General features: G+C 41.3%; 1 protein-coding gene across 6 annotated transcripts in view; it reads right to left on the minus strand.

Annotated features, from left to right (window-relative positions):
- INO80 (INO80 complex ATPase subunit) overlaps positions 1-24,595 on the minus strand; it is a 137,401-nt gene that overhangs the window by 55,914 nt on the left and 56,892 nt on the right. For 5 of the 6 annotated variants that reach the window (NR_104038.2, XR_001751322.3, NM_017553.3 and 2 more), the window contains exons 16-24: positions 23,846-23,988; positions 21,829-21,913; positions 20,454-20,571; positions 19,136-19,221; positions 15,142-15,309; positions 14,494-14,627; positions 13,419-13,483; positions 12,615-12,708; positions 10,111-10,282 (exon numbers count right to left, since the gene is read on the minus strand). Coding sequence is in view for 4 of the 6 variants with exons in the window: in NM_017553.3 (NP_060023.1) it covers positions 10,111-10,282; positions 12,615-12,708; positions 13,419-13,483; positions 14,494-14,627; positions 15,142-15,309; positions 19,136-19,221; positions 20,454-20,571; positions 21,829-21,913; positions 23,846-23,988 (1,065 nt within the window). In the remaining 2 variants the exon portion in view is untranslated. The remainder of the gene's footprint in view (positions 1-10,110; positions 10,283-12,614; positions 12,709-13,418; positions 13,484-14,493; positions 14,628-15,141; positions 15,310-19,135; positions 19,222-20,453; positions 20,572-21,828; positions 21,914-23,845; positions 23,989-24,595) is intronic. The other variant, XM_011521686.4, reaches the window with a different exon arrangement.

Below are 24,595 nucleotides of genomic sequence, written 5' to 3' on the forward strand. Positions count from 1 at the left end.
CTGGAACATGGAATCTGGGTTCAACTTGCATACTCTTCCATTAAAACCTTGAAACATAATTTGTCTTCACTGGAGAACTGCTTCTCTTCTGCATTATGTTTCCAAATAATTAAAGTTACATAATCAGAACTAATGTGGCAAATTAAATGAAAATACAGAGCTTGCAATGAAAAGAAAAAAAATGCTCACAAGGAGTTAAGAGTTTATGAGTAAAGAATCCCTGCTGAAAATGAAACCTCGTTATTATACTATAGTTACTATCTTTCCCAGCTAACATTTGCTGTGAAGAAACACGGGTAACAGAGCACAAGGATAGAGTCCAAAATCCTTTCTAGTTGAAAAACTAGTTAAGAACTAGTACTACAGTCAGAACCATCTACAGTCTAAGCCAGAATCTCAGAACAGGAAATCCAAAACAAATTTCATAATGAAATATCTGATATAATGGGATCAGCATGGAAATAAGGGGCTGTGGTAGTTTTATATGGCCACAAATTCCTTGGCCAGGTGTGATGGCTCACACCTGATCCTAACACTCTGGGAGGCTGAGGCAGGGGAATCCCTTGAGGCCAAAATCCAAAAATTAGCTGGGTGTAGTGGCACCTGCCTGTAATCCCAGCTACTTGAGAGGCTGAGGTGGGAGGACTGCTTGAGCCCCAAAGGTGGAGGTTGTAGTGAGCCATGACTATACCACTACGCTCTTGCCTGGGTGACAAAGCAAGACTACATCTCTAAAAAAAAAAAAAGACCGGGCGCGGTGGCTCACGCCTGTAATCCCAGCACTTTGAGAGGCCGAGGCAGATGGATCACGAGGTCGGGAGATCAAGACCATCCTGGCCAACATGGTGAAACCCCGTTTCTATTAAAAAATATAAAAAATTAGCTGGGTGTGGTGGCGGGCACCTGTAGGCCCAGCTACTCGGGAGGCTGACGCAGGAGAATGGCGTGAAACTGGGAGGCGGAGGTTGCAGTGAGCCGAGATCACACCACTGCACTCCAATCTGGGGGACAGAGTGAGACTCTGTCTCAAAAAAAAAAAAAAAAAAAAAAAAAAGTCTGGCGCCTTGGCTTACACCTGTAATCGGAGCACTCAGGGAGGCCAAGGTGGGCAGATCACTTGAGGCCAGGAGTTTGAGACCAGTCTGGTCAACATGGTGAAACCCCATCTCTGCTTTAAAAACAAAACAAAACAAAACAAAAAAACCCATAAAATTAGCTGGGCATGATGGCCCACACCTGTAATCCCAGCTACTCAAGGAGGCTGAGGCAGGAGAATCACTGGAACCCAGGAGGCGGAAGTTGCAGTGAGCCGAGATCGCACCACTGCACTCCAGCCTGGGCAACAGAGTGCAACTCTCTCTCGAAAAAAAAAAAAAAAAAAAAAAAAAAAAACCCAAAAAAACCACATAGCTAAGCTGCTCCCAAGTTCCCAGCCAACAGAAACAGTGTGAGATATCAAGTGTTTATTGTTTTAGTCTCTAGGTTTTAAGATAACATGTTATATAACTACTACTACAGGGGCTAAAATCCATAGTTGAGCTCATTAGCAACCTCTATTGCAAGTTTCTATAGATTCACTTCTCTCTGGTGTTCCTTACTACCCAAGGAACGTGTCACCTCTAGTTCTCAGATCAAATGCAGGGCAAAAATAACTAAGTGCAATAAGATCAATGAATGATCAAACAGATTACCTATCCTGCCCACTTTCCCTAAACCCCTAGAAGTTAGTGCTCTTCACAAAATTCTATTTAAAATATTAAGAGTAAAACTGTACTTTTAATTTTAGGCTAGAAGACATTCCCTCAGATTAATACATACCATGTTCCAAAGATTAGTACCAATCCACCAATATTGTTATTAATATTAATACTGGTGCATTAATATAATGTGCCATTATTCACTAGGTCATTCAGCAAACACTTATTTAACCTTAAAAGTGCCCAAAATAACCAGACCACAAAGGGAAGATGAATTATATAAAATGTCCAAACATTTAAATTGGTTTTAGCCAGGCACGGTGGCTCACGACTGTAATCCCAGAACTTTGGGAGGCCGAGGCAGGCCAGTTACTTGAGGTCAGGCCGGTTACTTGAGATCAGGAGTTTGAGATCAGTCTAGCCAATATGGCAAAACCCCGTCTCTCTACTAAAAATACGAAAATTAGCCAGGTGTGGTGGCAGATGCCTGTAATCCCAGCTACTTGGGAGGCTGAGGCAAGAGAATCGCTCAAACCCGGGAGGTGGAGGTTACAGTGAGCCAAGGTCACTCCACTGCACTCCAGCCTGGGTGACAGAGCAAGACTCTATCTCAAAAAACAAAACAAAACAAAACAAAAACTAAAAATAGATTGATTTCTCACTTGAAAAAAGAACAAAAAGAGAGAGAAAGAGAACCACTTAATAGGACTTTTTTTTTTTTTAATGTTAAGCTTAAGGCCGGGCACGATGGCTCAAGCCTATAATTCCAGCACTCTGGGAAGCTGAGGTGGGAAACTACCTGAGGTCAGGAGTTCGAGATCAGCCTGGCTAACATGGTGAAACCCCATCTCTACTAAAAACACAAAAATTAGCCGGGCGTGTTGGCACATGTCTGCAGTCCTACTTGGGAGGCTGAGGCAGGAGACTACTTTGAACCCAGGAGGCAGAGGTTGCAGTGAGCCAATATCGTGCCACTGCACTCGAGCCTGGGCAATAGAGCAAGACTCCATCTCCAAAAAAATTAATTAATTAAATAAAATAATGTTAAGCTTAGTGTTAGTTGTTCTGGACATTTTAAAACATTCTTTGTGGCAGAGAAATAGCTTTCTGTTAATTATACAGCCTGCCAGTATTCACAAGAGTTTTTCATCCTATTAAAAAGTATAGTTGGGCTGGGTGTGGTGGCTCACGCCTGTAATCCCAGCACTTTGAAAGGCCGAGGCGAGAGGATCACTTGAGACCAGGAGTTCGAGACCAGCCTGGCCCACATGGCGAAACCCCACCTCTACTAAAAATACAAAAATTAGCTTGGAGTGGTGGTGCACGCCTGTAGTCCCAGCTACTCAGGAGGCTGAGGCAGGAGAATCACTTGAACCCGGGACGCAGAGGTTGCAGTGAGCCAAGATTGTGCCACTGCACTTTAGCCTGGGCGACAGAGTAAGACTCTGTCTCAAAAAAAAAGTGTAGTTAACCAACTTGCGCACCCCCACCAAATGCCTCTCTTGCCCCTCTTCCCTTTTCTTTTTTTTTTTTTTTTTTTTTGAGATGGAGTCTTGCTTTGTCGTCCAGGCTGGAGTGCAGTGGCATGATCTCAGCTCACTGCAACCTTCGTCTCCCGTTTTCAAGTGATTCTCCTGCCTCAGCCTCCGTAGTAGCTGGGATTACAGCCACAGGCCACCATGCCTGGCTAGTTTTTTTTATTTTTAGTAGAGACAGGGTTTTGCCATGTTTGCCAGGCTGGTCTCCTGACCTCAGGTGATCCGCCCACCTCAGCCTCCCAAAGTGCTGGGATTACAGGCATGAGCTACTGCACCCGACATCTTCCCTTTTCGTTGTGAAATCTGCAAGACTCTTTTCTCTTAAAAAAGTCAACTTTCACTTAAACCAAACTCCCCTCCTGAAATACCTTACTTTTTAACTGTCACACTTCAATACTCATTCTCTACACCTCCTAACCAGGATCTTTCTCCCTAAAAATCCTTACAACTGGGCTTCTGCCTTCTCTTTTTAATCTGTACTCACAATCAAAGAGTTCTTAATCTCACTCTTTAGTTTTTGCTTTAAACTTGATATGGAACTTAAGATTCCCTCTGGATCCTCTCTTGAACTCTGGCTTTTTGAAGTAATTTTTCCATCTCCAGTGCCCATCCATATCCAAACTGATCAAAGTCCCTTGATCCCTTTTCTATAATCTTTCTGTTACAACCATTGCTATCGGGTCTTTAGTACCTGACACTTGAAACTTTTGCTTAACATCTGCCTTAACATGGATTGCTGCCTCCATTCTTCCTGATATCACACTCTGAGGTTAATCTTCATAAAATACAAATAACAAAGATCCCAACTGGTTTGATATAATGACTCTGGTAATTTAGCAGCCTTACTGAACCTGCTACCAGAATACTACTTCTCATGGCTTCACATTGGCTACCAACACTTGACCCCGAGGAATACAACTTTAAGCATCTGTTGAAGAAAGTAAGACAAATAGGGCTGGGACGACAAGCTTATTATCTAAACCCGCATAGGGTGGCATTCAAAGACTTTCCAAACTTACCCTTCTAGACTTTTCTGTCATTACTGTCCTTTATTTTGGCTCAAATCCTTAACTTGGAATTATGTTCCTCCTATCCAAATCTCTACCACTCAAAATCCAACTTTTTCAAAATTAGAGACACAGTCTCACTATGTTGCCCAGGCTGGTCTTGCCTCCTGGCTCCAAGCAATCCTCCCACCTCAGCCTCCTAAAGTACTGAGATTAAAGGCATGAGCCAACACCACACCTGGCCTAGATCCAATTTAACAATACTATTTCTATAAAGTGATCTTCTCCCATCTGAACTCTACCATTCATTATCTACCATTACTCAGGCAGTTAATTGTGTAGTATTTAAAGTCTTATCTTGAACCACATTCAGTGTGTGTGTGTGTTTTTAAGCATGAGTGTATATTTTCAATATGTGCATGAGTGACTCTTCCAAATACAGCACAGGGATAATGATTGTTAACACACTTTGCCTACTGTGGTATGCAGTAATATGTTTGTAAACAACATTAATTACGTATGTTTCTCCTTGCTGGACTGGACTAACATTGGGAAAAGGCTGTTCTGAAGGTAGCCTAGAGCAATGAAAAAAGAAGCACCAGACAATTCCCAAAGATCACAGTCTACACTGGAGATTCATTCAATCGATAAGCACTTACGATATACAAATCCATGCCCTCCACGGACCTTTGAGGTCAAATAATTTAAAATAGTTTGAAAAACAATGTACAGCATGTAAAACACAGGAATATCTTCTGTAGTAAACACTGAGTCTCCACTCTACCACCATTCCCTACTCAAATAAACTGCTCACATCGGTGGTTTCCAAGGTAGGCACACGTAAACTTCACAATGTAAATATTAATATGTGAATACATGTATATAATTTAAAACAAAATAGCATACAGACATTGGAGAAATAGAGTACGAATGTTGTTATTACAGAGGAACATAATCAAAACATTTGGGGACTACTGACCTATACTACCTAGACTGCTAAAAAGAGGTGAGATTAAAATAAGATTTAGCCGAGTACACGGGCTCACAACTGTGATCGCAGCACTTTGGGAGACCAAGGTGGGAGAACTGCTTAAGCCTAGGAGTTCAAGACCAGCCTGGACACAACATAGTGAGACCCTGCTGCTACCAAAAAAAAAGGAAAGAAAATATGATAAAATAAAATTTATATGCCAATTCTAAAATTTACATGAATACACGAAGGGCTAAGAACAGCCAAAACAATACAGAAGAAATGCAAAGTCAGAGGATCTGTGCACCAGTTATCAAGACTTACCGTGAAGCTGTACTTATTAAGATAGAGTAGCACTGGTTCAAGGATAGTCAAATGGGTTCATGGAAGAGAACAGAGTTCAGAAACTGACCAACACATATATAGACACCTGCTTGACAAGTGATGCTACAGTCCAGTAAGAATGGTCTTTTCAATAAACGGGATATGGAGAGAAATAGAATTATCTTCGCGAATTTGTTGGAGGCAAAGAATTCTTCAACAGGACACAAAAATTATTCACTATTCATCAGAAGACAACATTGAGGCTGGGTGCAGTGGGTCATGCCTAAGTCCCAGCACTTTGGGAGGCTGAGGCCGGAGGATTGTTTGAGGCCAGAGTTCGAGGCCGGCCTGAACAACACAGCAAACCTAACCCTAACCTAACCCTAATCCTGAGCTACGACTGCATCAGTGCATTCCAGCCTGGGCAACAGAACAATTCAGATCCTGTTTCAAAAAAAAAAGGGTGGGCAGGGGAAGGTACCACTGAAAATGAGAAAGTTACAGAGTAGAAGATATTTGTAATATACAAAGAACTACAAATCATAAGAAAAATACAGTCAGCCCAATAGAAAAATAAACAAGAATTCTGAACAAACATTTCATAAAGGCAATTATCCAAATGGCCAATAAACACCAGAAAAGGTATTCAATATCATTTTCACAGGAGAAATTTAACTAAAGACATAATAAGACACCACTACCCAACAAAGTTTAAATGAAGAGACAGACAATGCCACATTCCTGCAAAGACGTAGAGGGTCTCACTCTGTCACTCTCCGAGGCTCAGAGTGCAGTGGTGGGATCACCGTTTATTGTAGCCTCAACCTCCTGGGCTCAGGCGATCCTTCCACCTCAGCCTTCCAATCCTCCCACCTCAGCCTCCCAAGTAGCTGGAACTACAGGTACACGGCATCATGCTTGGCTAATTTTTGTATTTTTCTGGTAGAGATGGGGTTTTGTCATGTTGGCCAGGCTGGTCTCTAACTCCTGGGCTCAAGCGATCATCCCGCCTCAGCCTCCCAAAGTGCTGGAATTACGGGAATGAGCCACGATGCCTAGCCTCTACATTGTTGTTAATTGTTACACCTGGAGCTTCTAGTTCTTTTTTTTTTTTTTCTTTCTTTTTTTGAGACGGAGTTTTGCTCCTGTTCCCCAGGCTGGAGTGTAATGGCGCGATCTTGGCTCATTGCAACCTCCACCTCCTGGGTTCAAGCAATTCTCCTGCCTCAGCCTCCCTAGTAGTTGGGATTACAGGCGCACACCGCCACGCCCAGCTAATTTTTGTATTTTTTTAGTAGAGACGGGGTTTCACTACATTGGCCAGGCTGGTCTTGAACTCCTGACCTCAGGTGCTCTGCCCGCCTTGGCCTCCCAAAGTACTGGGATTAACAGGCATGAGCCACTGTACCCAGCCGGCTTCTAGTTCTTTATTCAGAACCTAGGCTAACCTTTAAGAGTGGATAATATCTAACGATCATTTTGCTTGGCTGAAAGGAAAGATTTCCTTTTTTTTTTTTTTTTTTGAGGCAGGGTCTCGCTCTGTCACTGAGGCTGGAGTACAGTGGTGCACTCAGGGTTCACTGCAGCCTTGACATCCTGGGTTCAAGGGATTCTCCTGCCTCAGACTACTGAGTAGCTGGGACTACAGGCACCCACCACCATGCTTGGCTAATTTTTAATTTTTAATTTTTTTTTTTTTTTTGAGACAGAATCTTGCTCTGTTGCCCAGGCTGGAGTGCAGGTGCATGATCTCAGCTCACTGCAACTTCTGCCTCCGGGTTCAAGAGATTCTCCTACCTCAGGCTCCTGAGTAGCTGAGATTACAGGTATGTGCCACCACACCCGGCTAATTGTTTTTGTATTTTTAATAGAGACAGGGTTTCACCATTGGCCAAGCTAGTCTTGAATTCCTAACCTCAAGGGATCCGCCCACCTCATCCTCCCCAAGTGCTGGGATTACAAGGGTAAGCCACCACGCCCCACCTAATTTTTAAAATTTTTTAGTAGATATGGGGTCTCACTATATTGCCTAGGCTGGTCTTGAACTCCTGGGCTCAAATGATACTCTCACCTTGGCCTTCCGAAGTGCTAGGATTACAGGCCCAAGCCAACACTCCTGGCCCTGAAAGCAGAGATCTTTTAAAACTGACAGTCTTTTTTCTGAGAGGGAGTCTCGCTCTGTCACCCAGGCTGGAGTGCAGTGGTGTGATCTCCACTCACTGTAACCTCAGCCTCCCGTGTTCAAGAGTTTCTCATGCCTCAGCCTCCCGAGTAGCTGGGATTACAGGCGTGTGCCACCACACCCAGCTAATTTTTGTATTTTTAGTAGATGTGGGGTTTCACTACGTTGGCCAGGCTGGTCTTGAACTCCTGACCTCAAGGGATCCGCCTGCCTCGGACTCAAAAAGTGCTGGGATTACAGGTGTGAGCCACCACGCCCGGCTGACAGTCTTATCATTAATTATGAGAACCATAAGCTCTAGCAAAATACACTACTTGGTTGGTATTTCAATATACATACATATGTTGGAGATAAGGATGATGAGATTGAAAGCAGAACAGTGTCTCCACACATATATAAGCTTTCAGCTCCCCGTGGCCCAATAGCTCATTAATTCAGTGTATACTCTAAACCACTACAAGAGCAAATTAAAATGAGTAAATATAAGTGAATCTTTCAACTGCGTAAACATATTTTATGACCAGTTTCCCATAAAGCATACTACCCACATCTGCATTTCTCAGACGGTTCTAACTGATATAAGGACCTCACTAAGCAGACGCTCTGGAACATACTACAATATTTTCAGAAAACAGAGAAGAATACAAATGAGTGATGCATATCTCTAGCGTTAAGAAAAATGCAGGTGTCCATATAACAGGGAACAACAATGTCTTGGAAGAATGGTGCTTTTTGTATAAAAAGCAGAACTGATAAAAATGTATTACAGTAGTAACATATATTACCAAATTTAGGGGTTGAGAGAAGGAATTAATCTTTACAGAAGATTAAGCAACTCTTCAGACATACCAGTGTTCCCAGTAGACATACTAGGAATATTTCACCAGCAGGAAATCACCCTGCCACCACTGACAGCATTACTCCAAACAGGCTGGAATCCAATTACATTAATTTGCATTACTGATTCCCTCTCCAAAGTCCAAAAATTACATGAAGCAATGCTTAAGAAACCAACTGGGAAAACAGAAGAGAAGGAAATCATGTGAGCTTTTCAGTGTACAGGGGGCAAATACTGAATGAGCTAGCCAAAGAATGTCCTTCATTCTACAACAGTAACTGTAAAACTACCCCATAACATTTTCTATAGGATACAAGGAAAATGACCTAGTTTCTAAACTTCAATCTAGCTGAAGGACTATAACAAAGAACTGTCACTCCTCTTCTCAAAACTCTCTAGCATTACTCATTTCACTCAGAATAAATTCCAAACCCTCAGCAATTCTTATGAGGTTCCATATGACCTGGACCTACATCTATAACTTCAGTTCCTGTCACCTTCTTTCACCTTCTTTGTCACCTACTATTCTGTAAGGGCCAAGAATTATATGAAACTGTACACAACATCATTACTTTTCATGGAAATATAATTCAAGATCACGAGATGCCACTACACATTCACAAAAATAATTAAAACTGTAAGGAATGATTATTCATAAGGAGTCACACAACAAAACAAAACAAAACAGACTGCCATTCCCAGGTGTAGTGGAGGATGCTGAATAATAGCAAATCTCACATACCGTAGGTGCAAATGTAAATTTATAAAACTATTTTAGAAAAACGTTTGGCAAAAGCTACTAACTCTAAACAGGGTTATACTTGACAGTGTAGCAATTCCATTCCTGGATATAAACACCAAAGAAAGGAGTGTTTGCATTCATCAAATAACATGTAGACAAATGTGCATAGGGGTTTTATTCATAATAGCCTAGAACTGGAAACAAACAAAATATCTACCACAGTAGAACAGATTAATAAATTGTGGTCCATTCAGACAATGTAATACTTCATAGCCATAAAAAAAGAATGCTATATATGACATGGACAAATCTCATAAACAATACTGAGTGAAAAATCCCAGTTACAAAAGAGTACATACAAGATAATTCCATTTATATAAAGTTCACAAACAGGCAAAAATAATCTACGGTGACAGAAGTAGAATATGGCAATTACCTTTAATTGTTGGTTTGTCTTTTTCTAAACTAGAGCTACTAAACGGAAAGGAGCATGAGGGAGCTGGAAGTATTCTATATATTGATCTAGGTGGTTGTTACACAAGTGTATACACATATATAAATTCACAGAGCTGTACACTTAAGATCTGTGTACTTCACAGTATTGTAAAAAAAACATTTTGAAAATATAAATACACTCAAAAATATATATACAAAGTGTAAATTAAGTTAGAACTCAATATGCTGCACCGCCCACTCCTCTGGGAACTTTTTGGTTCTCTCAGGCCTTCATTTACTTTACTATTATTTTTACTTATTCAAGGAAAAGGAAAGAAGATACTAAGTAGGTAATTTATGCTCAAATAATTGCTTACCTTTAACAAAGGGCAGCTGCAAAGGTTTGGAAAGGAGAGTGGAAAATTAACCCCAAGAAGGAAATCCTTGTTCCTCAGGTATCTCTGGTGGCTCTCCCCTTCTGGCGCTCCCCAGGAGCGTAGCTGATGGAGCCTGTAGGAGGCTTTCAGAGACAGGAAAAGAGCTAACCATCTGAAACAAACCACAGCAGACACGCTTATTCAGTGCTCCATGGAGGTTTGAGGGTCGTTCATAGCAGCAAGGATTGTCTCTCATTAACATAACTCTTTTGTAAATCTTTATCATTTTAGAAACAGTTCTTTCCTACTTTCCTACTTTCAGATACATTATTTCGCATTACATGGTTTGCTACTATGAAAACTAAAATCCTCCGCAAAGCTCCTATCAGTATTTAAAAAAATTTGCCAGGCGCAGTGGCTCACGCCTGTAATTTCAACACTTTGGGAGGCCGAGGCAGGTGGAACATCTGAGGTCAGGAGTTTGAGACCAGGCTGACCTAGATGGCAAAATACAGTCTCTACTAAAACTACAAAAGGGCGTGGTGTCAGGCACCTGTAATACCAGCTACTTGGGAGGCTGACGCATGAGAATCGCTTGAACCTGGGAGATGGAGATTGCAGTGAGCCGAGATTGCCCCATTGTACTCCAGCCTGGGCGACAGAGCGAGACTCTGTCTCAAAAAAAAAAAAAAAAAAAAATTCACCTTGGCCGGGCACAGTGGCTCACACCTTTAATCCCAGCACTTTGGGAGAATGAGACAGGCAGATCAATTGAGGCCAGGAGTTCGGGAACAGCCTGGCCAAAATGGTGAAACCTCACCTCTACAAAAAAAAAAGAATACAAAAAATTAGCCAGGCGTGGTTGTGCACGCCTGTAATCCCAGCTACTTGGGAGGCTGAGGCAGGAGAATAACTTGAACCCAGGAAGCGGAGGTTGCAGTGAGCCAAAATCGAGCCACTGCACTCCAACCTAGGCGACCGAGTGAGACTTCATCTCGGGAAAAAAAAAAAATTCCTTCATATTAAGGAGATAACCATTTCTGATTACATAAATCAAAAGTAATAAAATCAGTGAGAACCATTATACCAGAGAACAGAGAATTAAACTTCCCAGAACACTTGAGGCAGGCTATGCTGCAATCACTAACTAAATGAATCACCAGCCTCCGTTTGCCCTGTAGAAACAAGTAAACAAGACTTACTAGAAATTATGGGAGAAAAGCCTAAACAGTTTATATTTAAGGGGTGTGTGTGTGTCTGTGTGTGTGTGTGTCTGTGTGTGTCTCTGTGTGCGTATACATACATATATATATATATATATATATATATATATATATATATATATATATATATTCTTGTTCTGTTGCCCGGGCTGGGGTACAATGGCATGATCTAGGCTCACTGCAACCTCCACCTCCTGGGTTCCAGTGATTCTCCCACCTCGGCCTCCTGAGTAGCTGAAACAGGCGCGTGGCACCATGCCTGGCTAATTTTTGTGTTTTTATTACAGACGGGGTTTCAGCATGTTGGCCAGGCTGCTCTCAAACTCCTGACCTCAGGTGACCCACCTGCCTCGGCCTCCCAAAGTGCTGGATTACAGGCATGAGCCACTGCGCCTGGCCTATTTAAGATATATTATGAAGCATCATACAATTACTAAATGAGCAAAAGAAAGGTACAATTCACTTATGAATAACAAATTACAGTCTTTTTGTTTGTTTTGTTCTGTTTTGAGACCGAGTCTCATTCTGTTGTCCAGGTGGGAGCGCAGTGGAGCGATCTTGACTCACTGCAACCTCCACCTCCTGGGTTCAAGCAATTCTCCTGCCTCGGCCTCCCGAGTAGCTGGGACTACAGTGGTGTACCACCACACCCAGCTAATTTTTGTATTTTTGGTAGAAATGGGGTTTCACCATGTTAGCCAGGCTGGTCTTGAACTCCTGACCTTAAGTGATCCACCCACCTTGGCCTCCCAAAGTGCTGGGATTACAAGTGTGAGCCACTGCGCCTGGGCCTGGTCAACAAACTGTACTATTTTTTTTTTTTTTCTTGAGACGGAGTTTTGAACTTGTTGCCTCAATTGATCCAGGCTGGCCTCAACTGATCCAGGCTGGAGTGCAATGGCATGATCTCAGCTCACGGCAACCTCCACTTCCCAGGTTCAAGCAATTCTCCTGCCTCAGCCTCCCAAGTAGCTGGAATTACAGGCATGCACCACCATGTCCGGCTACTTTTGTATTTTTTAGAGATGGGGTTTCTCCATGTTGGTCAGGCTGGTCTTGAACTGCCGACCTCAGGTGATCCACCCGCCTCGGCCTCCCAAAGTGTTGGGATTACAGGCATGAGTCACCGTGCCCAGCCTACAAACTTTATTCTTAACAAAAGAAAATTAATGACAAGTTCTCTAAGATGATATCATATTAAATATTTAATTCCACAGTATTCAATATCTATCCCATTTATTCCTAACTGGCCTCTTATCAAGCAATAAGCAAACCTCTCACCTGGCCAAAAGTCCCTGAAGCATAAGGTTTGCCATTTCTGCTGGAGATATATCAATAAAGCGAAGGAAAGAGAAACAGCTTTCTTCATTAATACCTGAAATATAAAAGACAATTTGAAACCCAACAGCAAACCAAGAGACGATGCTCAGTTAAAGCCTGCTCAACTGCTGAGTTTTGACTTAAGAACAAAAACACTATTCTAAAGGTTCTGATCTAGCCACTTTGGTGCAAGTTAGGGTGCCACACCTTTATACTACAATAACAGATAAGAGAGGCAGGCCTATGAGATATGGCATATATATATGGACCAGACTAGAGATGGCTCCTACATTACCTTTGGGATTTTTGGATGCTTGCCTAAATGCCTTCTCTTTGTCCAATGCTAGGAAAAAGAAAAGGACAGGACAGAGGTGAAAGGTTCTGAACCTTGGCCTTAATATTTTGGACAATGAGCAAAGCTGAGTAGCTTCTTTTCCTTAGGCTAAGACGGAAGGAAGTCTCATTAATGAGACAGTCCAGCACCGACTTTGTCAAGTTTCAAGGGCAAGAAATTCTTGAAAGGCAGGTATAAAATAAAGATGGAAAGTCAATAATACTATTTTCTACTTTTTCCTCTCATAGCTACAAATCACAGAGCCTATAAAGATAACTAATTTCCTTAATTAAATCTTATCAAGATTTTATAAATAAGGGCCTACCATATAGGCAAAACTAATACTCGTTCTAAATCAGTCTCTCAGCAAAACAAAGAGCATCCTGGTAAAACCCTGACAAACCTACTTTCCCAAAGATCAAAACACCTACCTTTTCTGTGAAAGAGAGACCGTTGGATATAGTCTGGTGCAAATGGAGAAAGAACCCTTAACCACCTGCAAAGTAAGTAAATAAAATAAAGCCAAACCCAAACATAAATAATGGAAAGTTAACTAGACTAGAGGTTCCATAGCAAGTAAAACCTTTTAGTTTTGAAACTGTTTCACTTTTAAGAAGTTTCTTGCCATATTACCAGGCAAAAATCATAGCATACATTTAAAAAAATACAAAATATTTAGTGAAAGTGTAAGAAGATAATACAAATTAAAAGTAGTCTCATTTTATTTCAGAGAATCACAATTCTAGTGCCCTAAGGTATCATATACCATACTAAACAAAAGGCAATACAGCTCTGGCCTGTTCCTCCCAGCTCAAGTTAAATATTAACCTGGAGCTACAAATAACTCATGAAGTAAAATCCAAGAAATGTGTTTCAATTTCAGTTTCATTAAACTAAATATTGGTGATGAGTTTCTCTATAAAACAGCTTTCTAAATCCATGGTTCTCAAATGTTGATATGCAGAAAAAACCTCTGGGAACTTGTTTAAAAATTCAGAAGCCAGGGCCATACTAACTCACAGGTGTGGAATGGACCACACATCTATTTTCTGAATGGAAGTCGTCTCTAGTGCATTACCTTAACAACCACTTCAAACTTTACTAAATTTATCGTTGCTGACTCTGAGAAAAAGGTAAATTTGATTAACTTACAATACAATCAGTTCACCCACAAGTGCAATTCCAAATGTAAAGTAAGCCACCACAAACCAATTTCAGCAATGGGGCATAGATATGCATACTTGCTGCAAGTACATATTTACAAATTGGTGCACATTCCTGATTCAAAGAAGAACCAGAAGTGACTAGGGCCTTTAAGGCCACCTAGCTGAAGTTTTAACAGTGCTCAAATTCCTTCCATAAGATCCCTCAACAAATAGTTGTCCACCCTTTGCTTAAATGTCTCATTGCTGGGAACTCATATTCTCTCCACTAAATTTATCTACTAAGCCATAAAACTGTAAATTATAAAACACTAATAGTGAACAGATAGTAATACTTCCCTACCTGTCTCGTGAATGATTGAAGACCCTGATCTGTCCATGACGGTAGATAAACTTTGAAATGTGGTATGGCTTTAGGGAAATATGAAATGGAGACCAAGTTTCTTGCCGTTCAAATAACTCCGGGTGATTACACACCTAAAAGGAAGGGAAATGGTAAGACAATATTACCACATGCAGACATCATACGTAATGACAGGGGATCCCAAATCCCAAATGTTTACCTTTGGGAATGGATACTTTCCCATTTTCATCTCATTAATAGCCTTTGCTTATCTGGCATCAAGGATAGACTGTTTTTCTTGAAAAAGGTTAATAAAGACAACTTCAAGGCCAGGCGCAGTGGCTCACCCAGCACTTTGGGAGGCCGAGGCGGGTGGATCCCTTGAGGCCAAGAGTTTGAGAGCAGCCTGACCAACATGGGGAAGCCTCATCTCTACTAAAAATACAAAAATTAGCCAGGCGTGGTGGCAGGCTCCTGTAGTCTCAGCTCCTTGGGAGGCTGAGGCAGGAGAATTGCCTGAACCTGGGAGCCAGAGGTTGCAGTGAGCCGAAATCACGCCATTGCACTCCAGCCTGGGCAACAGAGCAAGACAATTCTATCTCAAAAAACAAAAAACAAAACTTCAAGGGAACTGACGTAAGCTCTTACCTTCCTAAACTGCATGACCAGATTCATGAGGCTGCTGGTGGTGTTCTGTGCTTGTTGGGTAGAGCCCATAGAAGACTGCAATAAATCCTCAATGGAAATTTTGTTCTTTAGTGCCTGATATAGCAGCTTCTGTCGGCTGGTCAGTTGGCAATACATTAGAATCTCAATCTAAAAATCAATAAGAACATTTATATTTGGAAAAGTAGTTTTTAAGAAAATTCAGCATCAGCTTAAAGTTGAAAACACACACAAACCATATTATGATTGAGAATAAACATATGTGAACTCAGTATCTCTATAAACCTGTGAATGTGGACAATCATTCAGAAAAAAATGTATATTCCTTGGCCCTCTTCTCTTCATCACTCATTCCATTTGCTTTCCCTGGGCAATTTCTTCCATTTCTAACTGTGCCAACTAACACCCATCACAGTAACATACAAAAGTACATTCCCAAACATAACCCAGGCCAGTACCTGCAACTACTAACTCTAAGAGTACCACTCAGTCTGCAGCAATGGCATATGTGATGTGTCAGAAAAACAGTTCTCTTTTCCACAATTTACTAAATTGGTTAACAGCATTACCATTCCTTCAGTTGGGAAAGACAAACTTAACTCACCTCTGAATGCTCTCTCACACCTCATGTTCTAGTATTTCCTAAATCCTTCAATTCAGCTTGGAAATCTACCACCTTTTCTAACCATACCCATTGCCCTACTGCTGGCCCTCATCTGATATAGTATAGACTGATAATATTTTGTGGTCTTCCTGCCTCCAGTTTCTTCCGGTTGTGATATACTTTCCACATATAGCTTATAAAGGAATTCAACTGCTGAAAAATCTTCAATGTGCATTTTTGCCTAAAGTAAAATGTTGAAACTTCTCATCTCAGCAAAGAAAGCCTCCAATAATCAGGCCGGACGCAGTGGCTCACGCCTGTAATCCCAGGACTTTGGGAGGCCGAGGCAGGCAGATCACAGGTCAGGAGTTCAAGACCAGCCTGGCCAACATAGTGAAACCCCATCTCTACTAAATACAAAAATTAGCAGGGTGTGGTACCACGTGCCTCTAATCCCAGCTACTCAGGAGGCTGAGGCAGGAGAATCACTTGAACCCGGGAGGCAGAAGTTGCAGTGAGCCGAGATTGCACCATTGCACTCCAGCCTGGGTGACAGAATGAGACTCCATCTCAAAAAAAAAAAAAAAGAAAGTTCTCCCATAATCAAACCTACCTTACTGTCTGAGTTTCTCATCATCATAACCTCCTCACATACCACTTAGCCACAATGATCTGAAAATTAGCCAAAACAGGCTGCATATTTCGATGTTACTCTATCTTTGCTCACACTGCCCTTGTTGCCTAGCCCCCCATTCCCACCATATTTTCCTAGTAAATGCCAACTCATCATTTGAAACCTAGCTCACATGTCATCTTTGCTTTAATGCCTTCTCTAACTTTCCCTAGCAAAACTATAGTAAGATAGGAAACGCTAAATGATGTTTAAGAAACACATACTATACACAGTGGTTAGGAACCATACTAGATCTTCAGATCACCTCTCTATGTAGCACTAAACAACAATCATGAACTAGCTGGGTGCACTGACTCACACCTGCAATCCCAGCACTTTGGGAGGCCAAGGCAGGAGAATCGCTTGAGCCCAGGAGTTCTGAGACCAGCTTGGGCAACACAGTGAGACCCTGACTCTATAAAAATTAAAAAATAAAAAATTAGGGCTGGGCATAGTGGCTCATGCCTATAATCCCAGCACTTTGGGAGGCCGAGGTGGGTGGATCACGAAGTCAAGAGATCGAGACCATCCTGGCCAACCAACATGGTGAAACCTCATCTCTACTAAAAATACAAAAATTAGCTGGGCGTTAGTGGTACACACCTGTAGTCCCAGCTACTAGGGAGGCTGAGGCAGGCGAGTCGCTTGAATCCGGCAGGCGGAGGTTGCAGTGAGCTGAGATCGCGCCACTGCACTCCAGCCTGGTCGACAGAGCAAGACTCAGTCTCAAAAAAATAAAAAATAAATAAAAAATAAAAAATTAGCCAGGCATGGTGGTGTGCACCTATAGTACCATCTACTAGGGAGGCTGAGGTGGGGGGATCCCATGAACCCTAGAGTATGAGGCTGCAGTTAGCCATGATCATGCTACTGCATTCCAGCCTGGGTGACAGAGTAAAAAATCCAGTCTCAAAAAAAAAAAATTTTAAACAATGAACTATTGTTTACATGACCCTTTAAATATAAATGCATTAGGGATTCATTTTTTAAATAAAATGTTTTCCTTCTCTCAGTTGTATCTATGTGACATTGCTATTTATTAGCTAAAATCAGCCAATTTCAAAAAACTACCCATCAAGATTTTGAGAAAAAAAGACTAAATAAAGGTACAGTTCTACTCCTCTCTTTGAAGAGGATATATATACAATCCCTGATTTTTTAAGTCCAGCACGGTGGCTCATGCTTATAGTCCTAGCACTCTGGGAGGTTGAGGTGGGAGGATTGCTGGAGTCCAGGAGTTCAAGACTAGTCTGGGCAACATAGCAAGATCCTGTCTCTAGAAAAAAATGAAAAATTAGCCAGGTGTGGTGGTGTACACCTGTAGACCCAGCTACTAGGGAAGCTGAGGTGGGAGGACTGCTTGAGCCAAGGAGGTCAAAGCTGAAGTGAGCCGTGATTGCACCACTGCATTCCACCATGGGTGACAGAGCGAGCCCTTGTCTTACAAAAAAAAAAAAAAAAAAAAAAAAATACAAGGGGAAAAAACGGAGGGAGAGATTAAAAGATACTAAGAGGTCGGGCACAGTGGCTCACACCTGTAATCCTAGCACTTTCAGAGGCCCAGGCGGGTGAATCCTTTGAACTCAGTTTGAGACCAGCATGGGGAACATGGCAAAACTGGTCGCTACAAAAAAAAAAAAAAAAAATACAAAAATTAGCCAGGTGTTGTGGCACACACCTGTAGTCCCAGCTACTTGGGAGGCTGACAGGGGAGGATCACTGGAGCCCAGGTGGTCAAGGCAACAGTAAGCCAAGATTGTGTCACTGCACTCCAGTGTGGGTGAAGGAGTAAGAACCTGCCTCAAAAGAAACAACAAACCAGATGCTGAGAGACAGACCATCCAAATGCTATGTATGGACCTTGCTTGTATCCTTATTCTGACATTTTTTTTTTGAGACAGACATTCGCTTTGTCGCCCAGGCTGGAGTGCAGTGGCACAATTTTGGCTCACTGCAAGCTCCGCCTCCCAGATTCATGCCATTCTCCTGCCTCAGCCTCCCGAGTAACTGGGACTACAGGCGCCTGCTGCCATGCCTGGCTAATTTTTTGTATTTTTAGTAGAGACGGGGTTTCACTGTGTTAGCCAGGATGGTCTCGATTTCCTGACCTCATGATCCGCCCACCTCAGCCTCCCAAAGTGCTGGGATTACAGGCATGAGCCACCGTGCCCGGCTACAAATTAATTCTTTGAAGAAGAGAGACAGACACACAAAGACAACTGGAGATATCTGAACACTGACTAGATACGTGATGCTATCATGGAACTGGTCTTTTTAAATAGGTGTGATAATGGCATGTGGTTAGGCAGTGTTTAAAAAAACCAAATCTTTTAGAAATATACATGAAAATACTTCATAAACAAATATTCATTTATAAAACATCTGGGATTTGCTTTTGAATAAGAGAGAGGTAGAGTTAATGATTATTGTCACGGAACAATGGGTCAAGGGGATTCATTATACTATCTTTCTATTTTTGTAATGTTTCAAATTCTCCAGTAAAAAGCATTTCAAAAAAAGAAAAAAAGATGTTATTTTCCTCAATTATTTGCCTCATTTTAAGTCCTCTTTGATCCATGCAAGTTTAAACGTCTTCCTTCAAGCAAACTTCAACTAAACATATATCAATAAATTTCTCCCCCTGGAATCTTAAGTTGGTGCCTATTGAGGCTTAAACACATGAGGTCTTCTTTACTTACCTTGTCAGATAATTCATTTTCCACATCTTTCTTGATTCTCCTCAGCATAAATGGCTTCAAAATCATGTGTAAGCGAGAAAGTTGATCTGAAATGCCGGGAGGCCCCCAAATAATACATTATAGTGATTTCACAAAAACAACAGAAACAAATACCACATTCACCTCTCACCAAACTCTTCAAAACTCCTTTGGCTCAATGATTCTCTAAAAGCAGACTGAAACTTTTTCCCAAGTAGGAAAGCAAGGAATTTTAATTTTTTATACCATCTTGCTATAGTCAACAGGATAAATATACTAGGCTCTATTTTCATTAGAATTCATTTTTAGGTTTTAGGGACATTTTATCACTAATAGGGTTGTAAGTATAAGAAAAATTATCTGAGACTCTCAGTGTTCCCCAAAAATTACCTTCCAAAGGATGTCAGCAAATTAACAACTCATAGTGTAAAATCACATAAGGATTTTTCTAATAGTGAGCAAGCTCATGTCTGTGTAATAAACACTTCAGAATGCTCTTAAAATCAGAGAGATATTATTCAACAATATCAAAAGTATTGATAAGGTTAAAAATGCTCACAATGAAAACAAATTCTAATACATAGAGAAAAATAACAAAAATGGTCCTTCTAATATTTGCTGTTTTTATCACAGGAAAAAAGCTTTGACCCATTAGACCCATAGCATTTGACCCATTTGACCCACAAAGAATTAAATATGAATTTTCTTTTGAGATGGAGTCTGGCTCTATCACCCAGGCTGGAGTGCAATGATGCAATCTCGGCTCACCGCAAACTCCATCTCCTGGGTTCAAGCGATTCACCCGCCTCAGCCTCCCGTGTAGCTGGGATTACAGGTACCCGCCATCATGCCCGGCTAATTTTTGCGTTTTTGTAGAGACAGGGTTTCACCATGTTGGCCAGGTTGGTCTTGAACTCCTGACCTAACGTGATCCGCCCACCTTAGCCTCCCAAAGTGCTGGGATTACAGATGTGAGCCACCATGCCTGGCCAATATGAATTTTTCAAGATCTAAATGGGAAATGTGAATTCTGCAAGCTAAAATATAATACTTTATGAATCAAGCCTGATCTGCCTTGATTAGACAAGACTACAGTAGTAATCATCTAAATTAGTTCTTTTTTGACTGTTAAATATGTACAAAAAACAAAATTATTTTATAAGCAAAAAATGTGGTTTTCTTCCCCGCTGATTTGTCTATGTATACTGGAAGAAAAATTATTCAAATAAAAGAAAATATGCAATTACGTGGTTGCCTACACTGATAGGTAGATAGAAAGCCAGCTCATAACAGTACTCACTCTCATCAATAGCAGATTTGTTTTCGGCATGGCTCTCAATGTCCTTGGAAAACCATTCATTAAATTCCTCATGTGAATCAAATAATGTTGGCATAATGAAATGCAGCAGAGCCCAAAGCTGTAAACAAAGACAAAAATGAAATAGCTATAGAGCAATAAAATGACAGCGTGTAAGGATGTATTAGATAGAGAAAATTGCAGGTGTATTAGTGTGTAAGTGCCTAGATGCATGTGTATGTGTGAATGAAAGACAGAAAATGAATGAATTCAACTACATTCTTGCCTCATCAACCAACCCTAATTTTATTAGGTGCTGTAGCAAAATGTGATTCTTTTTCAACTAATTTCAAACTAAAAGTTTCAAAGCGCAAGTCATGCTCAGATTTTGCAATGGGATAGTTTTAACGATCTTCTTATAAAAATCTATTCCATAATTGAACACAACCTAAGGTATGATAACTTGCTACTAATAATCCTAGATTAGGGGTTAGAAAAATATGGCCTGTTGGGCCAAGTCTGGTCTACCACTATTTTAAATCAAGTTTTATTGAAACATAGCCATGGCCATTCACTTATGTATTGCCTATGGCTACTTTATTACACAAGCAAAGTTGAGTAGCTGCAACCATGATTGCATGGCCTCCAAACTCTATAAAATATATACTATCTGTCAGTTTCTATAAAGTTTTCTTCTTTTGGTTTTTTTTTTTTTTTTTGAGATGGAGTCTCACTCTGTTGCCCAGGCTGGCATACGGTGGCACAATCTCGGCTCATTGTAACTTTGACCTCAGGATTCAAGCAATCATCCCAACTCTGCCTCCTAAGTAGCTAAGACTACAGGCATGCACCACTATGCCTGGCTAATTTTTTGATTTTTTTTGTAGCGTCCGGGTTTCACCACGTTGCCCAGGCTGGTCTTGAACTGCTGGGTTCAAGGCATCCTCCCACTTCGACCTCCCAAGTTGTTGGGATTACAGGCATGAGCAGCTGCACGCAGCCTCTATAAGGATTTCTGACCCTTATTCTAGATGATCAATTAACTCCCCCCAAAAATTTTAGCTCCCCTCTGTGTTAACAAATATTACATTTCAACTCTAGCAAAAACACGTCTCTGCATTAAATGTTTACATTTTCTAATGTGGTCAGTATTCCTTAAATACAAAAGAATACAGTAATTCATTGGCCTTATGCCAGAGAATAAGAAAACAGGAATGATGCCTATGCCTAAAAGACGACTTGGGGCAAGTCTTTTATGTGGGGACTATAATTTATACAAAGCAGTAGCACTGCAAGGGAATGGGTAAAGAATTCTATGCTCTGCTGGAATCCTTCTGTTTTATGAAGATATAAACCTGTGACCTGGACTAGTGCCTACCTCTGCCATGGTGTTCTGAATTGGGGTCCCGGTTAGCAAAAGCCGATTCCGACACTGGAACTGTAAGAGGATCTTCCAACGAACACTGTTTGATAAAATAAGTTACAAATTCATGTTAGCAATAAATTGTTCTTTAATTATCCTACTGAGACCCCATATTGACAAAAATGCCTTCCAAAAAACTAACATTCAGAATCAAGTACTCCATCATGTATTCAACTGAAAAACATTATTCAACAAAGCTGAAAACAGGACACTTCCAAGGGAAATGAGTCCTCTCTACTGAAAACACGGTATTTGGATTTAGAAAAAAATAGCCTCAAATAGGCAGAGTTGTATCATTTCTGGCTTTATAAACTCTTCTATTATCTTTAGTCATTTTTGCTGACATAAGTCATTTAATTAGAAAGTACATATCTGTGGTATAAAGTGTCAAAATTATTAATCTGTGCACTTCCAGTATGAGTTTGGAGAGAGCAGTTATGAGGAGTGTTGGTGAGAAGAAAATGTAAAATGAATCTTCATTGCTCCTGGCCAAAGGCATATGCTCCTTCGAACAACTGCAGTATGCCAAGCATGGTGGCTCATGTCTGTACTCCCAGCACTTTGGGAGGCTTGAGTGCAGGAGTTCAAGACCAACCTGTGCAGCATGGAGAAACCCCGTGTCTACTATAAATACAAAAAATTAGCCCAGCATGGTGGCACACGCCTATAGTCCCAGCTCTGAGACTGAGATGGGAGGATCGTTTGAGACAGGGAGGTCGAGGCTGCAGTGAGCCCCAACTGCGCCACTGCACCACTCCATCCTGGGCAACAGAGCAAGACCCTATCCCCTGTCTCAAAAAAAAAAAAAAAAGATTGCTGTAGGAAGTAAGACCTTTCTGAGGATAGAAAGTTCCACAGAAGGGCTCACGCCTGTAATCCCAGCACTTTGGGAGGCAGAGGCAGGTGGATAACCTGAGGTCAGGAGTTCGAGACAAGCCTGGCCACCATGGCAAAACCCCATCTCTACTAAAAATACAAAAATTAGCCGGACATGGTGGTGAGCACTTGTAATCCCAGCTACTCGGGAGGCTGAGGCAGGAGAATTGCTTGAATCTGGGAGGTGGAGGTTGCAGTGAGCCGAGACTGCGCCACTGCACACCAGCCTGGGCAACAAGAGTGAAACTACATCTCAAAAAAAAAAAAAAAAAAAAAAAGAAAGAAAGAAAAGAATAGAAAAAACAAAGTTCTACAGAAAATATCATCTAGCCAGTTAACATGGACCTCTAATAAATTTCTAACGACTCACCATGAGTTAATAAAAAAAATATCAAGCCTGAGGTTTAATATCACCAAATAACACTTTTTATTTACTTTGGGACCTCAAAGGTATTGGAATATTTTAAACACATAACTTAGAATAAAAGGATTCTTGGAGATCTGAAAACCATCCAGGGTCTCAGATAATCAACATAAAACAAACAGAGCATCCAATCCACATAACCTAACATTCTACCTCCTACTTAGAACTCCTATCTAAAATAATACCTTAAAGCAAGGGCAGAGACTCCTTCCTCTATAGAAATTTTCCCTGAAGAGATGACCTGTAAAAATGTCACCTTCTTGAACAGGGAGATAAAAGTTGAGAAAAGTCTTGGTATTCTTGGCATTAACATTTGTGTTCCATGAAAAAATAAAAAAAGGGAATTTTTGCCTTCTGATCAGGTACACGACTGATGCAGAGATCATGTCACGTCATATTTAAAACCTCTCATATATTGGACGGGTGGCTCATCCCTCTAATCCCAACACCTGGGGAGGCCGATGCGAGAGGATCGCTTGAAGCCAGGAGTTCAAGACTAGCCTGGGCAGCAAAGCGAGACCTTGTCTCTATTAAAAAAATTAAATAAAACTTCTCATATCTTGATTTTATTCATATATACAAGTCTGTGTGTGTGTGTGTGTGCGTGTGTGTGTGTGTGTGTGTGTGTACTTAACCCAATGCATTGAGTTTGGTTTCTACTACTCATGTTACCTGGAACTACTCTTGAGCGCCTGAGCCTCATCCAGTACCATGTATTGCCACTTGACCCGCTGGAAATACTTTACATCCTGCACCACCAGCTGATAGCTGGTAATAACCACATGGAAGGGGGCATCCTGAGTGTAGAGGGTCTTCTGTAAATATAAAAGGGGAAGGGTGAAAAGAGAAACCTAATAATTCATAATAAGGAACTGATGTATGGACTGTTTTTCTAGGGCCAAAATGTTTAAGACAGCCCTGAAGATGTGCTTCTCCCATATGGTAGGGAGATGTGCAGTGAAGTGAACCATACTGTGGGGTTTTGTCTGTTGTTTTGCTGTTGTTGAGAGGGTCTCACTCCGTTACCCAGACTAGAGTCCAGCAGCGTGAACATGGCTCACTGCAAACACAACCTCCTGGGCTCACGTGATCCTCCTGCCTTAGTCTCCCAAACAGCTGGGACTACAGGCATATACCACCATGCCCGGCTAATTTTTTTATTTTATTTTATTTTATGTAGAGATGGGGTCTCACTATGTTACCCAGGCTGGTCTCGAACTCCTGGACTCAAGTGATCCTCCTGCCTCGGCCTCCCAAAATGCTGGGATTATAGGCATGAGCCACCATGCCCGGCCACTATAACTGTTTTTAAAGCAGTCACATTTACCACAAACTAGGCTGAAACTAGTCTTCAGCTTATTAAAGAAAAAAGTTCTGGCCAGGTGTGGTGGCTCACACCTGTAATCCCAGCACTTTGGGAGG

This window comes from Homo sapiens, chromosome 15, assembly GCF_000001405.40.
Source record: "Homo sapiens chromosome 15, GRCh38.p14 Primary Assembly".
NCBI classification, from domain to species: Eukaryota; Metazoa; Chordata; class Mammalia; order Primates; family Hominidae; genus Homo; species Homo sapiens.